Source organism: Homo sapiens, chromosome 5 (assembly GCF_000001405.40).
Source record: "Homo sapiens chromosome 5, GRCh38.p14 Primary Assembly".
In the NCBI taxonomy this organism is placed as follows: Eukaryota; Metazoa; Chordata; class Mammalia; order Primates; family Hominidae; genus Homo; species Homo sapiens.
This window is the reverse complement of record NC_000005.10, coordinates 57,254,174-57,266,410: the sequence shown is the minus strand read 5'-3', so window position 1 is coordinate 57,266,410 and position 12,237 is coordinate 57,254,174. Positions and strand designations below refer to the sequence as shown.

Here is a 12,237-nt window from a genome sequence, read left to right as displayed (position 1 = left end):
CAATTCTCCTGTCTCAGCCTCCCAAGTAGCTGGGATCAGAGGCATGCACCACCACACCCAGCTAATTTTTGTATTTTTAGTACAGACTGGGTCAGATGGGGTTTCACCATGTTGGCCAGGGTGGTCTTGAACTCCTGACCTCAGGTGATCCTCCCGCCTCAGCCTCCCAAAGTGCTGGGATTACAGGCGTGAGCCACCATGCCCAGCCCCATAGTTAAATATTAAAACAATCACAGCTGTCCTCTGAGTCCCATCGTTTTAAGTGCAAGCATTCAGCCCTGCCTAAAGAAAGGAAATATTAAGTAGCAAAACAAAAACCAGAATCTGAAGCATCTCTGCGGCATCTGGAGGCTTTCACGGATTTTTCTATTGCTTGATATGTCCTGTCGTTCCCCTAACAGCCAAATAACTTTTATAACCTCAGGAAACTTAACTATCTAAAAGTTAAAATATCCAACTCTTAGTGATAATCATTTAAAAGCCCTAGTAACACATCCCTTATTGTGTAAGCCAAAATAAAAATCTCACTTTATAGAAATATTTCACAAGTGTGTATCCTTTCTACCCTAGTTATCATTTTTTTTTTATTTTGAGACGTAGTCTCACTCTGTTGCCCAGGCTGGAGCACAATGGCACGATCTCAACTCACTGCAACCTCCGACTCCTGGGTTCAAGCGATTCTCCTGCCTCAATATCCTATGAGTAGCTGGAATTACAGGTGTATGCCCCCACGCCCGGCTAATTTTTGTATTTTTTTTTTTTTAAGTAGAGACAGGGTTTCACCACGTTGGCCCAGGCTGGTCTCTAACTCCTGACCTCAGGTGATCTGCTGACCTTGGCCTCCCAAAGTCCTGGGATTACAGGTATGAGCTACCGCACCCAGTCTACCCTCATCATCTAGATTCAACTTAGTTTGCATGATTATGGAGCATGTATTTAGACTCCAGTATCAGATTAGGGATGATGACGGATGGGGTGTTAAAACAAGTTATTTAACAGATTCCTAAATTTAAAAGGTTTATATAACCACATTCTAACAGTATACATAAACACTAGCAAAAAAGGACAAAGTATTTTGGGGGAACCAGATCCTTTAACATACTGAATTCTGTTAATATAAATCTGATTAAGTCAAGCTGATTTTAGATTAACAATTTCAATAGAAATTATCTGCAGAAATATTCTAATCCTTATACTAAAATCAAGCAAATAGTTTTTGAAATGCTATTTTAAGTCATTACCTTAAGAATTTTGCTCATTAATTACATTTTATACCAAAATAAAATGAGAGGGGGGTGGAGAATTAGTGACAGGGACTTAAAAGGAACCAAGAAATTCGGGGGAATAATAGATTATGTTCACTTAGTTGTAGGTCAAAACACTGTAAACTGTATGTTTTACCTGTGTGTTCAAGTCAATTTATACCTCAATAAAGTGTTAAAAATAAAAAAGCTGCCAAAAAAATGAGTTTGAAACAGCCATATTTGCTTTTCAGACTTCCATGGCCTAGTTCTGAGTTCAGCAATTCCACATTAGATCTATAACTAGTTTCTGTGCTTGTAGGCTCTCTTTAAAACAATATGGTCCAAGCTGTTTTATCAGCTGCCCATTATTTAGACACCAAGCTAAAACTATGTTACACTTTTAACTGTTCTCTTAAATTACATGTATGGCTCCAACCCCTCATAACCAAGCTTATTAATGTCATTAACTTAATGCATAGAATAACCATACCACTGTACTTTACCATATTTATAAGGAGTAAATTACTAAACACATTCCATATCACAATGCATGAAAGCACAATAAACATGAGTTAACTGCTGGTAAATGGGAATTAAGGCAGAAAAAACTGAGTATAAGAAAGATGCCAAAAACCAAAACTACAGAATCTTTTCTGAAAGTAGAAAACACAGTAAGGTGGATCTCAAATGTAAACCACATTCCTCAGGTTCCTTCTAGCTTGTTTTTGGAAATACAGGTTGTATCTGATAAATTTCATTAATCTATTAAGCAAATAGTACAATCTAAGAGTCTCAAAGACATTCAATATGTGTTACCGATAGCTTCGTCAAAGCATGCTTTACATTCTCCTGTGGCTAATTCTAACTACATTTAACTTTAGCTGATTAGATTGAATTGTGACAAATTATATAGTGAAACCTTATTTTAAGTATAAGGTCTATTTAATATTTTATTACCATTCTAACTCTTCCTCAAGTTTTGTGGGAGTGTGCTAGTGTGTTGTTTTTAATTTCCCCATCACCATCAGTCTCAGTGGGAACAACAACAAAAAAAAATAACAGTTTCTGGTGAAAACTGGGGAGTCCAGGTAGGGTATTTATGCAGAAATAGCAAAAACACTGCAGCCATCTGAGAAAACACTTTTTAAAAAACAACAAACACTTAAGATTAGATCTGACATAAAACCTCAAGTATTTTTGCTCTAAGATTATGCTCTTTACATAAGTTAGAATATATTTAAACATAAGGGGGAGCTAAAAGCAAATGGGGGTAAACAAACCAGAAAAATCAAAATACAAATATACACAGAGCCAAAATAGTATTTCCGTCAGCAGCAAAACAGAAACAATTCCAAAATTAATGTGCAAATGAAAATAAAGTAGTTAACAGTCATTCATTTAATAAGCTTGTGTATTTGATAATGAAAACGCTTAGCTTTCCTTTTCTGACCTCGGAAAAGTAATCACCATCTTTAGTAAGGTATTACTTTTAAAAGTATGACTTTAACAAGTGAATAAAGCATGTTTAGAGTATGTTTATGTTTAGAAACAATACCTTGAACACTACAGAAAACAACAATATTCTGAAAATCCAGTTTATTTTCCATGTCGTGGACAGATCCAGTCAGTGTGATCAGTTTTTCTGCGTGTGTAATAATTTATCAAAATAAGTTTTCTCACAAGACTCTTTTCCATCAACTCTGAAAACCCTGGTCTGACAACATACCCCAATAAAGCTTTTGAAAATCACCTCTTAAAATTTGGAAGAAAATGTGCCAAGTCTTTTCCTGTAACATTTACTGCACTACAAATGGCTAAAGAGCAATTTATGGTTTAAAAGGTGAATAGTACAACAGGTGAGTTCAGGAAATTGTTTTAGTGCACTTTGCTCCAGTTTTAGCCAACATGCTACATTTTCCTTTTTGGTTTTTGTTTTGTTGTTGTTGTTTTTTGGGGGAAGGAGAGGGAGACCGCACAAAGTGGACTTGAGGATTTCCATTGTACGAAAAAGATATGACTCTGCAAGCAAAACAGTGTAAGCTGCCTTTTTTCTTAAGACCTGGACATTTTAAGACAGAAGCTTTGCAAAACATTACACAATTTTTTATTATTAAATGAGAAAATCTCATTTGTTACATCGTCACATTGCTAGTCAGAGAAATGTTGCAGTGATGAAGAAAGTCAATGTTGGACCAACCCAAGTCCTCATTCCTACAACATTCATTTACAAAGAAATAATGTTCAACACAGCCCAACAAAACATTCTTGGTTTTCTTCATATTGAAGTCCCCCAAAAAATCCTCTTCTAATGGGGTATTTCACTACATAAATTATAGTTCTTCATTTTTACAATTCACCCCAAACTGTATGAGAGATGTATCACACTAAGATTTCTAAAGCTGTTAGGAAATCCTTCACACATCGTCGTCATCTGATGTATCACTGCTACTTGTCTCTGTGTCATCATTCTCAGTTGTGGGTTTGAAAGTGCTGTTCTTCCACGGTCCAAACTTGAAGTCACAGATCAAGCCATTTTTCAAAATACCATTTTTTCTCAGACCATTCTTCTGTAACTAAAATGTTAACAGCAAAATAAATAAATTATCCCTCAAGAGTTACAAACCTACTGTAATAATATAAGCATGAATATAATAAAATTGTATCCTAACCCAAAAACTACACAAGTAATGATATTTCTGAAAAAATTCTGGATCCAGACAAAGTAGATGTGAGTAATAATTGTCACACTGATTAAGGTACTAAACTTTCCCACATTTTTATTGCCTCAAGTGACAACTGTAATAAATACCTTCAGGGACTTACCAGAATATAATCAGAAACCATTAAGCTGTATCTGTTATTTTTATTATTCTGACCTAAATTAATACACCCCCCAATCTGCTTTGTTCATAGTTTGTAAAGTAGAATGAGGTATATAAAGTTACAAAATTGTCTCGTTTAACCGGAGATGAAGATACTAGAAAAAATACAGTTCTCTATTTCTGAAAATGAGAAATCATAACTAAAAGGTTGGTAATAAATAAGAATTGAGTCAAAACATCATCAAAGAAGAAAAAAGATAGTTGGCCCAAATTAGAAACAATTTAAAGACAGAAAATAAGCCCAGTGTAGTGGCACAAGCCAGTAGCCCCAGCTGCTCAGGAAGCTGAGGCAAGAGTATTGCTTGAGCCCAGAAATTTGGGGATGCAGTGAGCTATGACCAGCCACTGCACTCCAGCCTAGATGACAGAGTGAGACCCCAACTCTTTAAATAAACAAATAATCGATTTGAAAAAAAGCATCTCAACTTCCTGATGCTCTAACAAAAATTCCCTAATACTCTTTCAGAAAGGTAACTAGGGAGACATTAAGCAAGATGTTTTAGAATATGAAATACTCTTGTGCAAGAAAAGGATAAAAGATGAAGTTACTTAGGAAGCTACTAACACTCTCTACTTCTTATCACTCTTGCTCCTCCCCCAGAAAAGCCAAAAACAAAAACAAAAAACAAAACAAAAAAGGTCTGGAAAATGACTAATCCATAGACATCACTTACACTAATTCCTAACTATTGCACACCCAATAGTTTAAATAAGTCACTATTGCAGACTTCTATAAAGTCAATTCAACCAGGTGCAGTGGTTCCTGCCTGTAGTCCCAGTTACTCCAGAGGCTAAGGTTGGAGGATCACCTGGCACCCAGGAGTTCTAGAGGCCAGCTGGACACCATAGCAAAAGCCTGTCCTCCCTCTTTTTTTTTTTAAAAGCAATTCTGACCTATCGTGATAAATTCCTAAATCTCCCCCACTCCATGCTTACATATAATTATATTGTTCTAAATAAGGGCAGTTTAAAAGTGAAGTTGTATGATTCAGGTTTTCTTACCTGTTCACTAATAACTTGGAATTCTCTCATTTCATCCTCAGTTAAGGGAGCACATGTTTCATCATTTTCACTGTCTTCCTGCCAGCCCATTTCCTTTAACAATCTGAAAAGGAGAGGAAATTAAGTTTAATGTAAAGCTTACCCTGAGTAGGACAGTATCATTTACATTATGTATAAGAAAACATGATCCACCAGGATCCATTATACAAAGACCCCAAGACACATCAAAAGGATTTTTGAGCTCAGGCTTTGAGTATCTTTCTGAAAATGAATAAACAGGTAAGATTAATAAACTGATATTAAAATTAGAATGAACTCCTTGACTGCTTAATCCTTGGTGTCAAAGGCTCTTCAGGCTGGAAACTTTTAACAGATGTGAAGCAAATCTGCTAAATTCTTATACTAAAAGTAACAGCAATATCACTCCTCTTTTTCTTCAGTACCACCATATTTCTGACTACTCATTAGGTTTTCTACTTGGGCAGTCATGAACACTGCATCAATAGCTACTTCATTTGATCAGGAAACCTCCAAGCTTGTTTCTTATATGGCCACATATCTTGTATTGATATGAAAGGGTTTGTTTTTAAAAAATGAAACCCCTAAGTACTTCTGTTACTCCTACAAGGAGTCTTCAAAAAGTTCATAAAAAATGTGTATCATGGAAAAACTATGCAAGAATTTCAAGAAAAAAATTCTGCACCAAAATAAACTTGTGCTAACTTGTGATAACATGTTTCAACAGAATCTTGTTTAAGGCACCACAAAGGTAAGACATCAGTTTGCGAAAAGCCCCTATCAGATCAACATGAATTCTGCTAAAATCGAAGCAAGAACAAATACCAAATTTATGGTGAAACTTGGGTGGAAGAATAATGAAATCACTGATGCTTTACGAAAAGTTTATGGGGACAATACCCCAAGGAAACAAGAAATTTCAAATAGATAACTCATTTTAAGAAAAGATGAGGTGATTCTGAAGATGAAGCCCTCACAGAAGCAGCAGCAGATCATCCCCATCAATTGACAAGGAAAAAATTAATCTTGTTAGTGCCCTAACTGAAGAGGACTGACGATTAACAACAGAAATAGCCAATACCACAGACAAGACATCTCACTTGGTTCAGCTTACATGATTCTGAATGAAAAATTAAAGTTGAATAATTTCCACTCAATGTGTGCCCACATCATCTGCAGACAAAAATAGAGCTTTCAATGGAAAGTTTAAACAAGTGGGATCAAGATTCTGAAGCATTTCTTCAAAGAACTGCACATGGCTTTACCAGTATGATCCAGAAGACAAATCACAATCAAAGCACTAGCTACCAAGAAGTGGAAGGGATCCACTCAAAGCAAAAGAGGACCAGTCAAGAGCAAAGGTCATGGCAACAGTTGTTTGGAAGGGATAAAGAACAGTAACATCTGCTTATTATGAGAGTGTTTTGAGAAGGAAAGCTAAAGCTTTAGCAGAAAAATGCCTGGGAAAGCTTTAGCAGAAAAATGCCTGGGAAAGCTTCACCAGAGAGTCCTTAACCACAATACTCCTGCTCATTCCTCTCATCAAACAAGGGCACCTTTGCAAAGTTTCAATGGGAAATCATTAGGCATCCACCTTTCAGTCCTGATTTGGCTCCTTCTGACTTCATTTCCTAATCTTAAATTTTAGAGGGGGCCCATTTTTCTTCAGTTAATGTAAAAAAGACAGCACTGACACGGTTAAACTGCCAGGGCCCTCAGTTCTTCAGGGATGGTCTAAATGACTGCTATCATTGCTTACAAAAGGGTCTTGAACTTGATGGAGTTATGTTGAAAAACAGAGTTAATAGTTTTTATCATTTAATTACATTGTTCCACAAACGTTTAAGTCCCCTCTTATTTACACCTACTCATCTTTTAACTTGCACCTGCTACACAATAGCTGCTTATAGACTTTTAGACCTTTTTTCAGAGTCTCACAGAATATCTGAGACCTTGAATAAAACATAACATGATATCCACATTTTACACATGAACAATCAAGATCATATAAGTAAAATAACTTGCTTACTTGATGGCAAAGACAAATAGAATTTTGGTTTTCTGTCTCCCAAATTAGTATGTATTGCACAGCACCTTGTTGCTTCTGAACAAAAATGTCACAGTCAGCATTAATCATTTCTTCTTTCATTCCTTTTAGCCACGACTTCTTCCAATGCACTATCTTTACTCTTTAATCTGGATGGCCTCCTTTTGGAATAGCATTTCCATTCACTTTTACCATTCAATGACACCTAATACAGAGACTATTAAATCTAGACTAGCAAAACAATCTAACTGCTCTTTTGCTGGATCCAAACTTTTATCTGTTTTACTTTTAAAAACTGAATCGTAACTAAGCAATAATGCAGATGGAAAAAATTATCAACTATTATGAAAGAGAATATAACAGAAGGCAAGTATTTCTACTTCTCCACCAGAGGCTGTAGCTTTTAACTGTTCCTGAAATAGCTTTCAAAATAATCTAGCCGAGCATGGTGGCTCATGCCTGTAATTCCAGCACTTTGAGAGACCGAGGTGGGAGGATCACTTGAGCCCAGGAGTTAAGACCAGCCTGGGCAACAAAGTGAGACTCCATTTCTACAAAAAGAAAAATAAGAAAAAATAAAAACAATCTGTGTTTCCCTTTCCCCCCTAAACATACAAACATGTGCCACGTAACTATATTTTGGTCAGACAACCGCACATATGATGCATAATCCCATGAGACTGTAATACCATTTTCTTACTGTACCTTTGTATATGTTTAGATATGCTTAGATATACAAATACATACCACTGTATTATGATTACAAATACTATACAATATTCAGTACAGTAACATGCTATACAGGTTTGTAGCCTAGAAATAACAGTCTATACCATATAGCCTAGGTAGGTAGTGGGCTATACTATCTAGTTTGTGTAAGTACACTCTATGAGTTTCACGCCATGACAAAATCACCTAACGACACGTTTCTCAGAATATATCCCTGTCATTAAGCAATGCATGACTGACTATATTACTGTAACCCTTATCTGTACTTTGCTTTTTCATTTCAATTATTCCTTCCCACTCTCCTTCAAACTATTGCCAAATCATCCTGATACCAGTTTCACAACTACCATCCTCTGATAAATATTTTCGGTGGCTTCTCACTTTCTAAAGAACAAACTCCTTAACTGTGTTTGTGCCATGGTCACAAATTCAAATTCCTCAGTAGAGAAAATCTAGGATTAGAAGTTAGAAGACCTGGGTCACAGTTCCTACTCTATCACAAACCAAGTATAAGACATCTCTAAAGTCCTGCCTTTTCAATATGATCTTTAACTTCAGTGAGTAAATTGCCTGCTTGTGTCAAAATATCCCACTCAACACCCTTAAAACAAACTAGGTATATACACCATTCTAACCATGTCTTTACATCCTTTCTTTTTCTAGCACGCTTGCCCTTATTTACGTCTAACCCTTTCAAGATTTAATTTAGGTCCCAATTAAATCTTTCTGACTAGGGCCAGGTGTGATGGTTCATGCCTGTAATCCCAGCAATTCAAGAGGCCAGGGCATGAGGATTACTTGAGGCTAGGAGTTCAAGACCAGCCTGAGATACAGTGAGACCATGTCTCTAAAAAATAAATATTTATACAATTAACTATTTTAAAAGGAAAGAAAGAAAGAAACCTCTGACTGGTACCCAAGTCATAATGATCTCTATCCCCAAACCCTCTGAATTTCTTTAGCATTTACTTCCACTAATTTGGTGTCTGCTTAAACAAGTTGACAACTGTATCCCTTTGATGTTGAGGCTACCTCGATACCCTGATAAAGTGGCTAAAACTTGACAATAAAACTAAGAATGATCTATGTGCCTTAGTATTGAATATTTCATATTTTAATATTTGAAAAGCATTATCCTTAAAAAACCTATCACTGGCCAGGCGCAGTGGCTCACGCCTGTAATCCCAGCACTTTGGGAGGCCAAGGCGGTGGATCACCTGAGGTCAGGAGTTCGAGACCAGCCTGGCCAACATGGTGAAACCTCGTCTCTATTAAAAATACAAAAAATTAGCCAGGTGTTGTGGCGGGTGCCTGTAATCCCAGCTATTCCGGGAGGCCGAGGCAGGAGAATCACTTGAACCCGGGAGGTGGAGGTTGCAGTGAGCAGAGGTCACACCACGGTACTCCAGCCTGTGTGACAAGAGTGAAACTCCATCTCAAAAAAAAAACAAAAACAAAAACTATCACTGCCCCATATTATTGAATTCAACTAATATGAGTATTTATATGTATATAACTTAAGAAGTCACAAAGTTTACAGAAAATATGAAGCAATGGAAAAGAAGTAACATTCCATTTTGACAGGGAAAAAAACCCCTAAAATCTAAAAGCCATTAACTCTCTTAGCTTAAGAGTGGGGAAAAAGGTATTGATATACGTCTTTGAAACATTTACAAACACATATTCTACTTAAACAGTCAAGGAAACTCAAACTAAGAAATTTAAATAAAAACAGTTTCATATCAACTAGCCCCTTTACTTGTCTTAGGATCTTTTTCAGCAAGTGCAACATTTCTATAAAACTATCCCTCTATTCCAACTAGCGGCTACCAAATCTGAAATCTTGAATCCACAATTTTATTCTATTCTTGGCAAATAACAAAATGTTCTTATTGTTTGCCCCCTTCATCTTCATGTCCACACTAGATAATGGTATTCGTATGCATAACTCTCTCTTTTTATAGTTTAAACTATATGGTTTAAGGGAAAAAAACTTGGTTAAAACTTTTAAAGTAACCTAAATATAAAAGAAAAGTATCCACTGTTTTAAAAAGACGAAAACAATGTAATCTATAAAGTCTCAAAAAAAATTAAAACATATATACTAAAATAATCATTCAAGTAGGTCATCACTGATACTATCTCTTCATGCAGTATGGGGTGTTTTTTTTTCCCCCTCCCTCTAGAGCTTACTCCAATTTAGGATGTTTTTGTCTTTTATTTTTTATTTTTTGAGAATGGAGTCTTGCTCTGCCGTCCAGGCTAGAGTTCAGTGGTGCGATCTCAGCTCACTGCCACCTCACCTCCTAGGTTCCAGAGATTCTTGTGCTTCAGCCTCCTCAGTAGTTGAGAATACAGGAACACGCCACCACGCCTAGCTAATTTTTGTATTTTTAGTAGAGATGGGGTTTCACCATGTTGGCCAGGCTGGTCTCAAACTCCTGGCCTAAGTGACCCACCTGCCTCAGCCTCCCAAAGTGCTGGGATTATAGGCGTGAGTCATTGTCCCCAGCCGGATGTTTTCATCTTGATTTGCCTTAGTTTCTAAATCTCATCCTCTCCATTTTCTCCTGTTAGTAGTCACAGAGAACCAAATTCTGTCAAGTTATGAAACTAAAGTCTCTCTTCCACAAGTCTTCCTAAATGAAAGAAGAACCATCAAAATGCTTCCTGCACTAAACATCTGCTCTGCAGATTAAAAAAATATAATTAAACATTAGATATGTCTATTAGGGGTTATAAGAAACATTTTCTAAAGGTATGGGCCAACTGTTTTTTTGCTACTAAGTACTGAAGGGAAATCAGAAGACAAGATATTAGGTGACAACTTTCTCACTATGGCCTTAATGAATAGATTCTAGGAGTTAAAAAAATCTTTTATCTGTATTCTTTTACTGCCTATGCTCTATCTCCTTAAGAGGTAACATTCATCTTTTACTATCATTAGAATATCTGATATGTTTGTGTTTTATTCTCCTTTCTACACACAGGCCTTTTCCCTTTCTACCAATTGTGTGACTAGAAATATTTCAATGATCATTGGTGAGAGTGCAAATTATCAGAATGTTTTTGGGTAACATGGCAGTAGCTGATTATTTTAAATATGTATGCCATCTGACCAATCAAATTCACTCCTAGTAATCTGTTACCTACACATTTACACAAATATTCAAGAATATAAATACAAGGATGCTGATAACAGCATTATTTGGAATAAGAGGGGGAAGAGGAAAGGAAAGAGAGGAAGAGGGGAGGAGAGGAAAGGGGAGAGAAAGGGAAAGAGAAGGGGAGAGAAGAGAGAGAGGACGTGAACACACATAAATCTTGATCACAGGAAAACAGTTTCACAATTTATATCCATACTATAGAATAGTGGCTTCAAATGGCAGAGGGGGAAAAACAAGGTGATTCATTAGAATGATCAAAAAAATTCTGAAATATCTGTTTATGTTAATCTTTTTAAAAAAGAATTCATGTTTGCTAAATTTTTTCTGTATTTGACATTTCAGCCATCACTCAAGCCTGTTAGTCACAAGTCATAAACTGTATTATGTGGTAGCATGAAGTTCCACAATTTGGGAGGCAATAAAAATAGTGTGGTTATTTATTCATCTGTTCACATTAAATGTACAATAAATTATACTTTGTCTAAACAAGTGAATTTATAGATATCTGATTAAGTTAGTTATAAATTAATCTAGCTAAATTAATTCTCAAATGCAATTATCATCAGCCCAATAAATTATTTTAGGAGAAAGGTCCAAATACAAAACTTACTCTTTTTTTTTTTTTTTTTGAGACAGTCTCACTCTGTCATCCAGGCTGGAGTGCAATGGCACGATCTCGGCTCACTGCAACCTCTGCCTCCCAGATTCAAGTGATTCTCATGCCTCAGCCATCTGAATAGCTCGGATTACACGCATGCACCACCATGCCCAGCTAATTTTTGTATTTTCAGTAGAGACAGGGTTTCACCATGTTGGCCAGGCTGGTCTTGAATTCCTGACCTCAAGTGACCCACCCACCTTAGCCTTCCAAAGTGCTGGGATTACAGGTGTGAGCCACAACGCCCAGCCTACAAAATTAAATGCCTACACATTCACATACAATAGTTACAGCCACATTTAAGAAGCAAAACAGGACATGATTTGGAGAAGGGAAACAAAAGTAACCACGAAGATAAAGTAATAATATATGATTAAAGACAGAAAGATAAAGATTTATTCTGAAGGAGCAATCTAAGGGAAAAAAAGCGAGGGGCGTGGGGAAGGGCTGGGCATGGTGGCTGTAATCCCAGCACTCTGGGAGGCCAAGG

General features: G+C 36.5%; 1 protein-coding gene across 5 annotated transcripts in view; it reads right to left on the bottom strand.

Annotated features, from left to right (window-relative positions):
- Positions 1,732–12,237, bottom strand: part of GPBP1 (GC-rich promoter binding protein 1) — a 90,621-nt gene continuing 80,115 nt past the window's right edge. For 3 of the 5 annotated variants that reach the window (NM_001331037.2, NM_022913.4, NM_001203246.2), the window contains 2 exons: positions 5,129–5,231; positions 1,738–3,817 (listed from right to left, as the gene is read on the bottom strand). In NM_001331037.2, coding sequence (NP_001317966.1) covers positions 3,659–3,817; positions 5,129–5,231 — 262 coding nt within the window. In that variant the 3' untranslated portion in view covers positions 1,738–3,658. Of the gene's footprint in view, positions 3,818–5,128; positions 5,232–12,237 lie in introns of all 5 variants that reach the window. The other 2 variants (NM_001127235.2, NM_001127236.2) reach the window with 1 other exon arrangement.